The 16373-nt window shown below is 39.8% G+C and overlaps 1 protein-coding gene, 1 long non-coding RNA gene and 1 pseudogene across 6 annotated transcripts in view, besides 1 other annotated feature; 2 read left to right on the top strand and 1 right to left on the bottom strand.

Moving 5' to 3' along the window:
* Positions 103-152: an enhancer, noted in NCBI's record as "active region_17167". NCBI's record gives its function as "activates an Ori minimal core promoter by ATAC-STARR-seq in GM12878 lymphoblastoid cells {active_cell/tissue: GM12878}" and the evidence as "EXISTENCE:reporter gene assay evidence [ECO:0000049][PMID:35858748]".
* Positions 213-16373, top strand: part of FARSB (phenylalanyl-tRNA synthetase subunit beta) — an 89194-nt gene continuing 73033 nt past the window's right edge. Inside the window, exons 1-5 of one of the 4 annotated variants that reach the window (NR_130154.2) lie at positions 213-289; positions 7510-7565; positions 9309-9504; positions 13300-13454; positions 15374-15443. Coding sequence is in view for 3 of the 4 variants with exons in the window: in NM_005687.5 (NP_005678.3) it covers positions 232-289; positions 7510-7565; positions 13300-13454; positions 15374-15443 (339 nt within the window). In the remaining variant the exon portion in view is untranslated. Of the gene's footprint in view, positions 290-7509; positions 7566-9308; positions 9505-11383; positions 11421-13299; positions 13455-15373; positions 15444-16373 lie in introns of all 4 variants that reach the window. The other 3 variants (XM_011510466.3, XM_006712169.3, NM_005687.5) reach the window with 3 other exon arrangements.
* On the bottom strand, positions 5406-10683 carry LOC105373902 (uncharacterized). 2 transcript variants are annotated; one of them, XR_923947.4, is made up of 3 exons: positions 9959-10683; positions 8180-8324; positions 5406-6019 (listed from the first exon to the last, which is right to left on the bottom strand). It is a non-coding gene; the product is annotated as an uncharacterized LOC105373902 (long non-coding RNA). The 2 variants fall into 2 exon arrangements; XR_007088094.1 differs by lacking the exon at positions 9959-10683 and having other exon boundaries at positions 8180-8464.
* On the top strand, positions 8985-10389 carry LOC100420353 (tripartite motif containing 60 pseudogene; annotated as a pseudogene).

The following is a 16373-nucleotide window of genomic DNA, read 5'->3' as shown; positions in this document are numbered from 1 at the left end:
TATCAAATTATATCTTTCTTACAGGCTTTTAAGCTATTAGTCTCATAAAGATACATTTAATCAGCGAGGTAATGGCATGATGAGTGTTTTTAGGTTAAAAAGAGAACAGGAACTGTTGCCAGCAGAATGGCGATATTCAAGACAACACGCACAAGAAGAGGCGGGTCCTACGCGCTTCGCTAGGGAAGCCCGGGTCAGCTCGCTGCGCAGGCGCAGTGAGTTCGACACACCATGCCGACTGTCAGCGTGAAGCGTGATCTGCTCTTCCAAGCCCTGGGCCGCACCTACAGTGAGTGGCGGCCCTATACGTTGGGCCCTACGCCTCTTCTCGGAGGCAGGGCCTCCCTCCAAAAGGGCAATGTGGCGACATTCATGCCTTCCTGAAGGTTTTGGCTCCGGGAGGCCGGGGTTTACGCGGGAAGGCCGATGATGGTGGCGGTCCGGCTGGGCTGTGGTAGCCTCGGAACCGGCATCGCAGCGGTGCCACTGCTTGTGCCCGGCTTGCCGTGTCATTCATTCAGCGATCTGCCATCGAGTGCCTACAGCGTGCCTGGCACCGACATCCAAGCCAGGGGATAGAACAGGAAGGAAACCCGGGGTTGCATCCCGAGCGTAGCCAGTTAATTGCAATAGCAGCGCTGTGGGAACTCAGTTTATAAGGGGGTAGGAGGAGAGATTTGTGCAGCGGGGTGGAGAACGGCATTCCACCTGTCTTCGTTTTATTAATGTTTCCTGAGCGCCTGTTATGTGTCAGGCACTGTTCTAAGAGCTTAGGACTAGAGCTGTGCACACGACACGTCAGGTCCACGTTCTGTCTGATGGAGGCAGACAATTAACCAGCACGTTAATAAAATGATTTCGGATAATGTTAAATGCCATCAAGGAAAGAAAAGGTGTTGTGCCAAGAACAACTTTAGATAGGGTGGTAACATTTGATCTGAGACCTGAATGGGGAGTATTAAATGGGTGTAGACTTCATTCTACATTTCATCTTTTAATCAGTTCTAAAAACACAACCATTGAAAAAAAGGAGGGAGATATTAAATGCAGTTATCAGTTACCTCACAGCCGTAGCAGCTGCCCCACCCTATTTTTTTTTTTATTTTTATTTTTTGAGACGGAGTCTGCACTCCCAGGCTGGAGTGCAGTGGCGCGATCTCGGCTGACAGCAACCTCCGTCTCCCTGTTCAAGCAATTTTCTGCCTCAGCCTCCCGAGTAGCTGGGATTACAGGCGTCCGCCATCGCGCCCGAGTAATTTTTTTGTATTTTTAGAGAGACCAGGTTTCACCATCTTGGCCAGGCTGGTCTTAAACTCCTGACCTCGTGATCCACCTGCCGCGGCCTCCCAAAATGCTGGGATTACAGGCGTGAGCCACCGCGCCCGGCCCCCACCCCATAATTTTTAGCTTGTATAAAGGCTGGACCAACTGGTTCGTGAGAGCTGTTTTTTTTGTTTTTAGGGCTCAGTGTGTTAACAAAGGCCTAATTGGTTTAATGACAGCCACCGCTTCCCAGAATAAGATTACTGTTACAGTGAAAATAAAGCTGGCTTTTAAGAATCTTTCCTAAGTGTGTACTTTTAGATAGTACCTATTCTCTATGTGATATTCTTCGTAAGTTCTGCCATAAGTCCCTGAAAGTAAAGGAAATACAAGGGTATTGTATTACTCTTACCCTTTGTACTTGGCTCTAATCGCCTAATCGCTTTATTTTATAATGAGCTTATTTATATTTCTTACCTGCCCTTCTAAACCATATTCTCACTAATGGGATGTGGTACAGGTTAATAATTCCTTATCCAAAATGCTTGAGACCAGAAGCGTCTTGGATTTTGGATTTTGGGATATTTGCATATACATAATGAGATATTTTGGGGGTGGGACCAAGTCTAAACATGAAATTGATTTATATTTCACATATACCTTATATGCATAGCCTGAAGTTAATTTTATGGAATACTTTAAATAATTTTTTTTTGCATGAAACAAGGTTTTGACTGTGTTTTTGACAAGTCACATGGAGTCAGGTGTGGAATTTTCCACTTGTGACATCATGTCTGCACTTTAAGGTTTTGGGTTTTGGAGCATGTCAGATTTCAGATTTTTGGATTGGGAATGCTCAGTCTGTATACCTGAATTGCCTAAGATGGTAGGTGGCAAATATTTGTTCAAAACATCTATAATCAGTTCCCATCCCAGTCTCCATTTCTAGGGAGGTAAGAAATAATCCAGATTTTTAAAAATGGTGAGATTTATAACCTATTTACTATCATCTGATGTTTTAACATATTCTGTCTGCTTCCCTTTTTTTTTCATATTGTCAGTGATCAATTAAGATTGATTTTTTCACAAATATGTGTTTGTTAGCTACTGAATCTTTTAAGGTCCAGGTACATGGCTGATGCTTGTAATCACAGCACTTTGGGAGGACGAGGTGGGCAGATTGCTTGAGCTCAGGAGTTGGAGACCAGACTGGGCAACACAGCAAAACCCTGTCTCTACAAAAAGTAGCTGGGTGTGGTGGTGTATACGTGTAGTCCCAGCTACTTGGGAGGCTGTGGCCGGAGGATCGCTTAAACCAAGGCGGTCAAGGCTGTAGTGAGCGGTGATCAAGCCACTGCACTCCAGCCCTGGCCACAAAGTGAGACCCTGTCTCAGAAAAAAAAAAAAAAAATTCAGTCAGAAGGATTGATGTTATTTATTGAGATGTACTTTCAAGAGGTCAGAAATGATTCTCCTCATTAGTTTACCTTTATTGTGTTCTTGCTTGAAACTGTTAACTGGGTTGAGGTCAGAATTGAAAAAGCATGTTCAGCAAACATGTGGTTTCCAAGTAGTATGGATACATCTTGTTTCTTACCTTTTTTTTTTTTCCCCAGTCTTCCTCTTTTTTTCTTGTTTTCAGATAATGTCTCATTCACACTTTTAAAATCCACATTCTCTCTCTTTAGTCCCTCCAAGGGTTGCTTTCTATTTGAAATTCCATTGTTTCTACCAGTCCCCACCTTCCTTTTTACCACCTCTTTGCTTAGCAAGGATATTTCTCTTTCAAGCTGTTTGCCATTTTGGTTATTTTGCTCTTCTGACTCCTTTGGAGCAGTTTTGTCTCCTTAGTCTACCTTTTCAACGGACTTTCTGTGCAGATGGTTTCCTCTTGCCACTCCTTTTCTTGTTAACTGATTTATTATCACTGCTCTTCAATTATAGTCCTGTTCTGGCGTGGTGTAATAGCTGGCAGTAGTGGCAGAACCTTCTGTGTATATCATATACACCCCTAAGGTGTGGTTACTTGATGTGTCATTTCGTTAGAGGAAATTAGTAATCACGATTTTATTGTTGATTTTTCTTTGTATAGAAACCCATGAAATAACAGCTGAAAGGAATAAAACATATGATAATTAGGATTCAGCGTATTTTAATAGTTCTGTACCACTTAGTTATCTATTACTGCATACTAAATTATCCCAAAGTTTAGCATCTTAAAGCAGCTATCATTTGTTATATAGTTTCTGAGGGTCAGGAATTGGGGACTGGCTTAGCTGGGTGGTTTTTGCTCTGGATCTGTTACCAGATTGCAGTCAAGGTGTTTGCCAGATCCGTAGTCATCTCAAGGCCTAACTGGGTCTGGAGAAACTGCTTTCAGGTTCATTCAAGTGGTTGTTGGCAAACCTCAGTTCCTTGCTGATTTTTGGCCATAGGCTTTAGTTCCTCCCACCTTATCCTCTCCATAGGACTACTTAGCACATGTTAGCTTGTTTGCCCCAGATGGAGAGGTCCGAGAGAGTAGGTAAGTAAGAGAGTGCCGAGGATAGACGCCTGTTTTCAATAACAGCTCAGAAGTGATACACTAGCCCTTCTCATATTCTCTTGATCACAGACCAATCCTAGCACAATGTGGAAGGGAACAGTACAAGGGTGTGAATACCAGGAGGCCGGTATTATTGGAGCCCATCTTGGAGGCTGACTACCACCGTTTCCCCTCTAACCTCCACTGATTCAGTTCCTCCCATATGCAAAATATACTCACCCCCTCCCAAGGCCCTCAGAAGTGTCATCCCATTACAGCAGCAGCTCAGAATCTAGAATCTCATCATCTAAATCAGGACCAGATGTGGATGTGGCTCCTTGGGTGTAGTTCCTTCAGTATAGCTTCTTTAGTACACTGTTGGCCTGAGAGACTCGAGAGACCATTTATCTGCCCCACATATACCTAACATACAGTGGTGGGATGGGCATAGGATAACTCCTGTAGCCCTTCCACTTCAAAGGGGCGGAAATGGGAGACACAAAGGAGTCATTGGTCCATGGCAATTCTGGAATCAAGTGGCAAATGTTGGATGTTCTTGATTAGGTCTGAAGGCCTGGAATAATTCTCCATGGCTGTCTGCCCTGCCCTCTAGGCTCTTGGTTTCCACCCCTCTGAGTGATCCCTAGAAAGCATGTGCTTTACAGCTGGTTGGTTTTCTCAGTCTACTTACTGCTAATAGAATTTTGAGAGTTCAAAGACTTTATTTTATCCTATTTCTATCCCTTTCAATTCTAGCTGGCAATGCTTCTGCATATGTATTTCTTCTAAAAACTTGGAAGGTCTTTGGTGCATGTTACTGGCTTCCATTTTATTAGTCAAAAGCCACACCACCTACACATCTCTGAAATATATTGAGTTTCTGCTGATAACAGTGCTCTTAATTAAGCCCTATTGTGTGATTAATTGGATTTATGAGGTGCATTCTTTATAATTTTTAATAGCACCCTTTGTTGGAATGATTAGTGCCTTTGATCTTTCTGGGTCTTAAGATTTTATGGTCATATCCTTGATTTTATCTTTGGACCATGTTTTCCTGGCAGTGCCTTGGATTTGGTCTTTGCTCAGAAGTTATTTCTTAATTTTAGCATTGTTTCACATCTGGAGAAGATGAGAATTTTTTAAATCCCCAACATCCTGGCTCATTTTTGTTTAACAGCCTTTCCTTTAGCTTATCTCTTTTTTTCACATAAGCACAAGAAAAACCCAGGTGGCACTGTGAACACTGGTTGGAAATCTTAGTTACATCACCCCATTGATTTTTTACAGTCCACATTACTGCAAGGAATGGTGTTGCTAAGCCTTCCGCCTCTTCTTAACCAGGATTCCTCTTCTTCTGCTTTCTGATAACATTACCTCACTTTCCTCCATGTCCTCACCTGCATCCTTACCAAAGACTATGAGGCTTCTTTCTTGAGGTTTTCATTTACACGCCTCAAAGCCCACTGCTTGGTTCCAAAGCCATTCCCATGTTTTTCATTTTTGTTACAGCAGTACACCACTTCCAGGGACTAAAGTCTGTATTAGTAATCTATTGCTATGTAACAAATTATTCCAAAGTATTAGTAGTCTGTTGCTACGTAACAAATTACTCTGGTACTTAGGAGTGTAAAACAAGCCTTTATTATTTTACAAAATTTCTGAGAGACAGGAATCGGGGAGTAGCTTAGGAAGGTGGTTCTGGCTTTGGGTCTCACCATGTTGCAGTCTAGCTGTCAGCTGGGGTTGCTGTCATTTCAAGGCTTGGCTGGGCTGGAGAATCTGCTTCCAGACTCACTCAGGTGATTGCTGCAGACCTCAGTTCACACAGGAGCATGAATACAAGGAGGCAGGGATCATGGAACAGGCCGTCTTGGAGGCTGGGTACCTATTACTACCTGCCCTAGTTAATGATATCCCCACCCATTTTTTCCCCCAAACCAGAGATCGGGGAGTCATCTTAGACTCCTTCTACACACTCCCTATTCCTACCTCCCATCATTCGGCCATCGAGCCTTATACATTCCACCTCTTTAACGTTTTTCATATTAATCCCTTCTTCCTCATTCTTGCTGGTGCTGCTTTAAATGAAGTCTTCACTATCGCATCTGTACTATTGCAGTAGACTCCCTGCTCCAATCCATCCTCTACTCTGCGAGCAGTCTTTAGAATGCAGATCTAATCATGTTTTTGCCCAGCCGAAGAATCCCTTCAGTATAATTCTCCATTGCCTGCCTGTAAGAAAGAGGGCAAATTGTTAGTTGACCCCTTTCTCCTTGTTCCATCATATCTTCTGATATGAACTTTATGTTTCATCCATGTTGAACTACTTAAGAGTTTCCAAATTTGCCATGCTGTTTCACGCCCCACAATCTCTGCCTAACGAACTCATCCTTTCTGTGAAGGTTTAGCTGACCATAAGAGAAACTGATTACTTCTTTTGTGCCAGCCCTGTACCTTGTACTTAACACAGTCATATTTATTTACACATCTGGCTTCTTTACTAGATGAGGAAGTAGTTAAGGCAGGAATTGTGTTTTATTTATCTTTGTAACCCTGGTACCTAGTACAGTGCCTGGTATAAGGTGGGTACTCAGTACATAGATGTTAAATTGAAATTTAGTGTCTGAATCAGGAATCTTAAGACCAGTTTTCGCTAGAATATACTGCTAATGATGTTTTGTGTTCAATTTTTGGTAATGTGAGAACCCTGAAAAGCTAAACAGTAGGATATAATATTAAAATAAGGAAGAGAACTTATTTTATTAATTGCTAATAAACTATTAATTATTGTAGACTCACTGTGTCTCAGGGTACTATGCCAGGTCCATTTTATGCATTAGCATTTAAATCTTTCCAATAGTACCATGCCATAATGGCTGTGAAATACCATTTTATAGATGAGGCAGCTGTAATGTTGACACAAGATACCAAGAAAGTTTACATAAGGTGCCAAACTCTCAGATCTAATAAGTGGGATAGAATTCAAACTCTGATTGACTTGGCTTCAAAGCCAAAAGTGTCAGGCCACCTCAGACCATTTTACCTGATAGGACTTATGTGACATTCTGTTGTGTGAGATCTGTGATTTGGAGCCTACTTTATATCTGATCTCTACTTAACAGGTGAACAGGTGTTTTTCTTCTGTGTACATGCAAACTTCCCAGTGCAGGTAACCTAAACTACAGTTGATATTAGTGTAGATTAATCAAGCCTTTAATAGTTTTTTCTTTTTTTTATCTTAAATTTTTTTGGCCCAGCTTTTTTTTTTTTTTTTTTTTTTTTTAATTTTTTGAGACGGAGTCTCGCTCTTGTCAGCCAGGCTGGAGTGCAATGTCATGATCTCGGCTCACTGCAACCTCTGCCTCCCAGGTTCAAGCAATTCTCCTGCCTCAGCCTCCCAAGTAGCTGGGATTACAGGCATGCGCCACCATGCCTGGCTAATTTTGTATTTTTAGTAGAGACAGGGTTTCACCGTGTTGGCCAGGCTGGTTTCAAACTCCTGACCTCAGATGATCCACACACATTGGCCTCCCAAAGTGCTGGGATTACAGGCATGAGCCACCATGCCTGGCCTGTTTGTTTTTAAATGATAATATGTGATGCCTGATATTTAGTAGTATGATTGGTGTAAGGCAATTAGTAATAAGAAAATGCAGTTTGTATGTAGTTTTCACTTATACTGAACAGAGTGAAATTAACCATCTCCTTTTTTATTTTCCTAGCTGACGAAGAATTTGATGAACTATGTTTTGAATTTGGTCTGGAGCTTGATGAAATTGTATGTATTGGATATTTGTCTATTTTTCAAAGATTGTGTGCATAAGCTTATTTTTCAGGGTTATACTGTATTTCATCTTTGTTACCTTATAGTTAGACTAAGGTGATAATGTTTGTGGGCCATGATTTCTGTGTTCAGAGGGCTAAGCTCCATGTCTGTCTGTTGCCTTGACTAAAATCTCAAAAGGAGTTCATGCCTTATTCCATCTACAATCACCTTGTTACCAGGCTCATGCTGTGGAAATGGATAGAATGTGTTAGATAACCCCAGTATGAAAGTAAGCTCCCTCCTTTGGCAAATTAATCACAGAAAGGGACCAAGAAGCAGTAGAAATGTTGCTTCAACCAGAGTTACCCTGCCTCCTTCACTTCCAGCGCCTCCTCCTTCAGCTCCTCTGCCCCCATAACCTTCCTCCGTGCCTCTTCAACCAGTACTAATGCATTACTATATTCATTGGTCTTGTAAAATGAACTAATATTTTTTAAGGACTTGCTTATAAAAATGAGGAAGCATTTTCTTTGACTTTTGATTGTATAATGATTACAATATTTAAAAAAATCAAGTCGGCTATACATTTTAATATTGTTAATAATGATTATCTATTAAAGACATACTTTAATTTGGTGGGGTTGGGGGTCTGAGTCCTTCCTCGCGGGGGCTTGATGGGTCCTGAGCATCCTCTGGCCGGGGTTTCTGATCCATCTGCTCCAGCATAAGTTCACAAAGTACAGTCCGCAGGCCAGCAGCATCATCTGGGAACTTAGGAAAAAACCAGCCCTACTGAACCAGAAACTGGGGATGTGGCCCAAGCAACCTTTTACCAAGCCCTCCAGGTGATTATAATGCAAGGAGAGACGAGGTTTTACCATGTTGGCCAGGCTGGTTCTCGAACTGCTGACCTCAAGTGATCCACTGCTTTGGCCTCCCAAAGTGCTGAGATTACAGGTGTGAGCCACCATGCCTGGCCCAATGTGCTTTATATAGTTTCACTCTGTTGCCCAGGCTGGAGTGCGACAGCGCGATCTTGGCTCACCACAACCTCCTCCTCTTGGGTTCAGGCGATTCTCCTGCCTCAGCCTCCTGAGTAGCTGGGATTACAGGAAGGAGTCCTTATCTTGGACCTGAGGCTGCTTTCTTGAAGAAAACTTGACTTTATTTCATTTAGTGGGAAGAGCAGCAGCCCAGCTAATAAGTTCTAATATGCAATAGGCTGCAGGCTGTGAAGTCTGAAGCTAAGGAGCTGAGGGCTTAACAAGTTTCTAGAAGCTGCCATCAACATGCCAAGTCAGTAAAACTGAAAGCTGGTCAGATTTCAAGGTCTGGGGAGGAATCCACTGCATAGTGGGTCTTGAGCTCTAGAGAGCTAGGCCTTGCTAAAATAAAAGAATTACCTTACCTACCATCTTTGTTCCAGGCTCCGTAGAATTTGTGACAGCCCTGGCTGACCTCCGAGCAGAGGCTAGCTGTCCCATCTGTCTGGACTACTTGAAAGACCCAGTGACCATCAGCTGTGGGCATAACTTCTGTCTCTCCTGCATCATTATGTCCTGGAAGGATCTAGATGATAGTTTCCCCTGCCCCTTTTGCCACTTGTGCTGTCCAGAAAGGAAATTTATAAGCAATCCCCAGCTGGGTAGTTTGACTGAAATTGCTAAGCAACTCCAGCTAAGAAGCAAGAGGAAGAGGCAGGAAGAGAAGCATGTGTGTAAGAAGCATAATCAGGTTTTGACTTTCTTCTCTCAGAAAGACCTAGAGCTTTTATGTCCAAGGTGCAGTTTGTCCACTGATCACCAGCATCGCTGTGTTTGGCCCATAAAGAAGGCTGCCTCCTATCAGGAAAAAACTGGAGCAATACAATGCACCGTGGAAGGAGAGAGTGGAACTAATTGAAAAAGTCATAACTATACAAACCAGAAAATCACTGGAACTGAAGAAAAAGGTAAAACATACGGCAGAAGAAGTCAAGTCTGAATTTGAGCAACTTAGGTTATTTCTGCAAAATGAGCAAGAGACTGTTTTTGGGCAATTACAAGATGACGAGATGGATATTTTAGCACAACTAAATGAAAGCCTAACAAAATTTTCAGATTATACCTCCTCATTAAAATATCTACTAAAGAAGATAGAGAGCATATATGTGAAGTCAGAACTGGAATTACTGGCTGATGTTAAGGATATCTATCACAGACATAAGAATTTAAAATTCCCTAAACCTTTTTTATTCAAATTAAAAGAATATGGTTACCATCTGTCTCCACAATATTGTGGCCAAAACAAAATTATCAAGCGATTTCAAGTAGATGTAATTCTAGATCCTGAAGCAGCACATCGTAAACTTATAGTCTCAGAAGATAGAAAAACTGTGCGATATGGAAATACAACACAAAACTTACCTCATAACCCAAGAAGATTTTATCTGCTCCCAGCTGTTCTGGGTTCTAAGGGATAAAATTGTGGCAGGCAGTACCGGGAAGTAGAAGTTAAAGACATGCCTGAATGGATTCTTGGTGTCTGTAGTGACTCTCCTCCCACAAGGAGGAAGAGTCAACCAATTTTAGTACAGGATGGATTATGGAGAATTTGGTAATCTAGTCGGAATAATTATATTGTATTGGGCCATAAGGAAATTATTCTGCTGCCAAAAGTAACACCTAGTAAGATTGGCATTTTTTTAGACTGTGAAATGAATGAGGTTTCCTTTTATAATTTGAATGATAGATCTCTTCTCTGTACTTTTAATGATGATTTTACAGGAGAACTTTGGCCTTATTTTTATACTGGAACTGACTCAAAACCTCTTAAAATTTCTACAGTAACAGATTCTGTATTTTCTTTCACCTAGTAGACATAACTGAGCCAGTTAATCTAGTTTTGGCCATTCTGTATTTTGTCCAGTTTTTCTCATAAAAAAACAATATTTTTTATCTCAATTTCAGCAACTTCCAAAAAATGTGATTATGGGACCTACTTTATAATAAATTATGGGGTCAATGACAAAGTACTTTAGAAATTCTATGGTAAAATACTTGAAAAATATATTACTGAAGGAACGTATTATGTAAGAAAATCTATTACTTTTGTAATTGCCAATAAAAGCCCAATTTTTTTCTCAAAAAAAAAAAAAGACATACTTTAATTTAAAAGATAATTTTCTGATAGTTAGTATTATTTTTTTCCTAAGCCTTCTATCTTCACCTATTCAGTGCTTTTATAACACTACCTTAGGTGTAAAGTTAAAAAATGTTCAGGCTAAAAAATTGTACATTATCTTACCTTATTTTTCCTGCTGCCTTACTAATGTTACAGAAAGATCATCTTTGTACTAATCTATTTGTATACTTGAGAAATTGGCTGAGATTTCTGTAGTTTATAAGTTGCTATTCGTAATTTTACTACACCTCAGAATTATGTTTGAAATTATGTGATATCTAAGAGTGTTGGACTGGATGTTAGATTATTTGAGTTCTAGTTCTAACATTTACTAGCTGTGTAACTATGGACAATTACTTTGCCTGTCTGAACTCTATAGTCCAGACGAGTCTCTCTGGGCCTCCTTTTCATTTGTGAAATAAGGGGTTTGGATTATATGATCTTTATGGTTTTCTTTTTTGACTCTGAAATTTATGTGATTTTAAATTTCTGTAAGATTATTGTCAGGTAGCACTGACAAATTCAGTCTTTACATATGGTCATTGTATGAGCTGAGATGCTGAAACTGAAAGAAGATGTAAGCTTCTGTGTCTTTTTTTTTTTTTGCAAAGGAATTAGATCTTTTTTTACAGTAGTTCCTCCTTATCCACAGTTTTTTGCCTCCACAGTTTTGGTTACCTGCAGCAAACTGTGGTTTGAAAATAGGTGAGTATAGTACAATAAGAAATTCTGAGACAGAAAGAGACTACATTCACATTACTCTTATTATAGTATATTATTTTAATTGTTCTATTTTATTATTAGTTGTTAATCTCTTACTGTGCCTAATTTATAAATTAAACTTTTTCATAGGTATGTATGTATAGGAAGAAACATGGTATATGTAACATTTAGTCCTATCCAATGTTTCAGGCATCCACTGGGGAGCTTGAAACATATCCCCTGTGGATAAGGGGGTGCTGCTGAAAAATGAATGCAGATGCCTTCATTTCTCCGGTTATTATATTATCTTCTCTGTATATAGGTCCCTCCTGAGATCTGCCATCTCCTGGGAGGTGACTCAGCTTTCTTCACTATTGAAACAGTAATTTTATTAACCCCTTTGATTGAACATTGTTTAAACTCGAATTCTTCCTCTTCTCTTTTTGCCTCTCCCCATTCCCCTTCTTTTCTTTTCCCCCTTTTTACTCCTTCCTCCTCCTCTTCATTCTCTTGTTTTTCATTTTTCATTTTCCCTAATTATAAAAATTTGCCTCCTAAGTTTGAGATGCCCAAGGTAGAGGTTTTTTGGAGCCCAGCACCACCTTGTACAGCCCCAGCATTGCATAGACTCCTGTGGTTCCTCAGGTGGGACTTTGGCACATAATACTCGTGGCCAGAAGTGAATTTCTCTGCATATTGTGCAAATGTGGATATAATTCTTAATTTGGACAAAAATTTGAACTACTTATATTGTGGCAGTGGGAGGGCATCATGTAAAACAAAAATCATTACATATTTTGATAGAAATCCATCAGTTATTTTAGCAGGTTGTTGGTGGTGGAAATAGTAGGAATTCTGGTTAAGTGGAGTTTCCACATAATTAAAGCGTAACATTAACAGTTGGAATACAACTTGTAATCATTTCAAGTGAAAATTTCTTAAATATATTTACAGTTCCCTGCTGTAGTAAACATAAGGAATAGAGTGTAACTTCTCTGCAGTGGTTATGTTTAAGAAAATCTGTTACTCTGCTGTAGTGTGGTGCTTGAGATATTCTAAACTCTTTGCCACTGCATTAAACGTGATTCTAGTGGTGTTTCTTCTGTCATCTCCCTCTTGGCTGCCTTCATTCTGCTGCACTATCCCTTTGCTATCACTAGTTTGCTTCCCATTGTACCTATTATCCCTTCTAATTTTTACCAGTGTCTGATGGTCTCTGACTGTTTTTAGTTTTTATACTACCCCTCTCATTCTCATGTGGACTTGGGTGCCCACAGGATTTAGGTTTTAGAGTCATCCTATAAGAAGTTGTGTTTCTTTTATTTAGTGAATCATCTTTCTTTTACCCCTTTGACACTTTTGTTGTTGTTACTTTATGTTCTTGGTGATGTTTTAATTTTCTTTTAGCTTGAGATGGGAAAACTTTTTCTGTAAAGGGCCAGATAGTAAATATTTAGGCTTTTTGGCTCTATAGTCTCTGTTACAACTCAGCTATTGCAGTGTGTAAGTAGCAGTAGATAATATGTAAATGAATGGGTCTGTCTGTGTTCCAATAAATCTTTATTTACAAAAACAAGTATCAGGTATGATTTGGCCAGGGGGCTATTGCTTGCTGACCCTTGTTTAGATGGATTTGTGCTTTTCTGGGGTGATTGAGGTTGCCAGATATCTGAACTCAGTTAAAGCTGAAGTATTTTTCTGTCTGCTATGATTATAACACTTAATATTTTCATGTTGTTTTTGTCGTGGATATAATAATCCCATGTTCTTGTTATAGAAAATATGTATAATGTAGTTACTGCCTTATAGGGCTGACAACTTTTACTTTTTAAAGAGAGTTTAAATTATTTAATTTTTATCATTACTTTTTGGCTTGTTTTAGACATCTGAGAAGGAAATAATAAGTAAAGAACAAGGTAATGTAAAGGCAGCAGGAGCCTCTGATGTTGTTCTTTACAAAATTGACGTCCCTGCCAATAGATATGATCTCCTGTGTCTGGAAGGATTGGTTCGAGGACTTCAGGTCTTCAAAGAAAGGTAAGGAAATATGTTCCTTAAAGACTTTGCTAAGTTGGGTTTTCTTTTCTTTCCTTGTCATTATCAGCAGCCATGTTTAAATTTCTAGGAAAAAGCTTGTAGAGGAACGTAGCTTTAGCTCTCAATAGAGGGTTGATTTGAGGAATTAGATTCATGCAGATTGTAGCCATTTGAAAATTTCCATGAAAATTTTAGTCATAGCCATTCATCTTTGAGAACATATTTTAAAACTGGTGTTTAATGCTTTTATGGCGTCTTAAAAAATTATTTAGCAGGTGTGTGTGATTCCCCTCCGTGATCTAATTGGAATGAGTAGTTCACTGGATGTGTTAAAAGTTGAGAGGAAATGGAGAGCTAGCAATAAATACCCTTACATTATGAGTTCTAAGGAAGCTCAGGAGTGAAGCCTCCTAACTGGAAAAACCAAAGATCTTATGACGGCTCTGTGATCTTGAGCAAGTTAGTTGGCCTCTCTAGTTTCAATTTCCTAATCTATAATGAAGAAGATTTATAAGGCCCCTTCCAGCTTTTCATTTAATGAAGATAGAGGGGCTGGACATGGTGGCTCATGCCCATAATCCCAGCACTTCGGGAGGCCGAGGCTGGTGGATCACTTGAGGTCAGGAGTTCAAGACCAGCCTGGCCAACATGGTGAAACCCCGTCTCTACTAAAAATATGAAAATTAGCCAGGCATAGTGGCGTGCACCTGTAATCCCAGCTACTCAGGAGGCTGAGGCACAGAATCGTTTGAACCTGGGAGGTGGAGGTTGCAGTGAGTCGAGATTTGCACCACTGCACTCCAGCCTGGGCAGCAGAGGGAGACTCTGTTTCAAAAAAAAAAAAAAAGATAGAGGATAACAAATATATACAGTGAAAAAAATGAACAGCTATTAAAAATTGTTTTTATTTTTGATTACTTCTTCATTATCTGGTCAGCTGCAAAAGAATAAGAGTTCTAACTGATGGGCTAGATTCTGAAATTGTGAGGGTTTAGGTGAGTGATGGGTATTGGTGAAATGGTGATAATTAGGCATTAGGTTAAGGATGGTTAAAATTTTAGAGTTGACTCAGTTGGTTTCCTATGGGACAATCAGATGCTTTTATTTTAGGATCAAGGATAACTCCTGAGAGTTCGTTTCCCAAACCTGCCCAGTGAGAATCTGTATTTTTACCAGTCACCTTGTGATTTTTATGATCAGACAGAATTAGGAAAGCAACTTAAAATGTTTTCTACTTAAAGTGAGTCCATGGACCAGCAGCATCTGAATCACATGAGAACTTACTAGAAATGCAGTCTTAGTCGCCACCCAACACCTATTAATCAGAATCTGTGGTTTAACAAACTCCCCAATTGATTGTAAGCACATTGAAATTTGAGAAGCACTGCCTTAAAACAGTAGTTCCCAACTTCTCCCTATGATAAGAGTTCCCTAGAGATGCCTTCAAAATGCACCATTTACCAAATCTTTGTCTTCACTTATTTTATTCAGTAGGGCCAGATGGAACCAGGGAATCTGTATTTTCCATAAGCTCTGTTTCTTCCTAGAAGCTCAGAATCTCATGGTTAGAATAACTATCATAACTTAAAGGTTATCTAATCCAGTCCCTCAGCTGATGTTGAAATGCTCCTTAAACGGTTGCTCAGTTAATGGTTTGTAGCCTCTGCTGGGATGCTAGTGATAGGAAATACATTACTATGAGGCATCTTATGTCATTTTTGGACAACTTTAAATGTTAAAAAGTTTGTTAGTTTTTTTTTTTGTTTTTTTTTTTTAGTGTTCAGCCAAAATTTGACTTGCTGTAACTCAACCCATTGCCCTAATTCATTTTGTATACTTCCTATATACAGCATAGAATGTAATTATTTTATATAATGTCTTGATTAATTATGAGTAAATTCATTTAAATATTATTTTAGGATAAAGGCTCCAGTGTATAAACGGGTAATGCCTGATGGAAAAATCCAGAAATTGATTATCACAGAAGAGGTAATAAGGACAAATTCTTATTTTTCTTTTAAAAATTTTCTTTTGTACATGTCTGTATAAAGTGGGGAGGAAAGAGAAACAAAGCTTACTCTTTTTTTTTTGTTTTGAGACAGGGTCTGGCTCTTTTGCCCAGACTGGAATGCAGTGGTGCAGTCTTGGCTCACTGCAACCTCTGCTTCCCAGGCTCAAGTGATCCTCCCACCTCAGCCTCCTGAGTATTTGGGAGTACAGGCACACGCCACCACACCCGGCTAGTTTTTTGTATTTTTTAGAAATGGGGTTTCACCATGTTGCCCAGGCTGGTCTCATTCCTGAGCTCAAAGGATACTTCCCCTGCAGCTTCTTGAGTATTTGGGAGTACAGACACACGCCACCACACCTGGCTAATTTTTTGTATTTTTTAGAAATGGGTTTTCACCATGTTGCCCAGGCTAGTCTCAAATTCCTGAGCTCAAAGGATCCTTCCCCTGCAGCTTCTTGAGTATTTGGGAGTACAGGCACACGCCACCACACCCAGCTAATTTTTTGTATTGTTTAGAAATGGGGTTTCACTATGTTGCCCAGGCTGCTCTCAAATTCCTGAGCTCAAAGGATCCTTCCCCTACAGCCTCCTAAAGTGCTGGGATTATAGCTGTGAGCCTCTGTGCCTGGTCCAAAGCTTACCCTTCTAAAAAATGTGATTTTCTTTGATCATTTGCTAAAATGATTATATACTTAGCCCCTAGCCCTTAAAAAAACATTTTTTTTTAACCTAGGAATGAAAAAGAACAAAGCCTTTGCTTTCCATAAATAATTTTGGATAATAATATCCAATGCATGTTTAAAACACATTTGAGATATAATTGTTTAAATTGTGGAACATTAATGAAATTTTAAAAGATTTTAAACTTTTCAGAGGGGTTGTTTGGTAAATATATGAATTATGAGCAA

The sequence above is a fragment of the Homo sapiens genome, chromosome 2 (genome assembly GCF_000001405.40).
Source record: "Homo sapiens chromosome 2, GRCh38.p14 Primary Assembly".
NCBI classification, from domain to species: Eukaryota; Metazoa; Chordata; class Mammalia; order Primates; family Hominidae; genus Homo; species Homo sapiens.
This window is presented reverse-complemented; position numbering and strand designations above follow the sequence as displayed.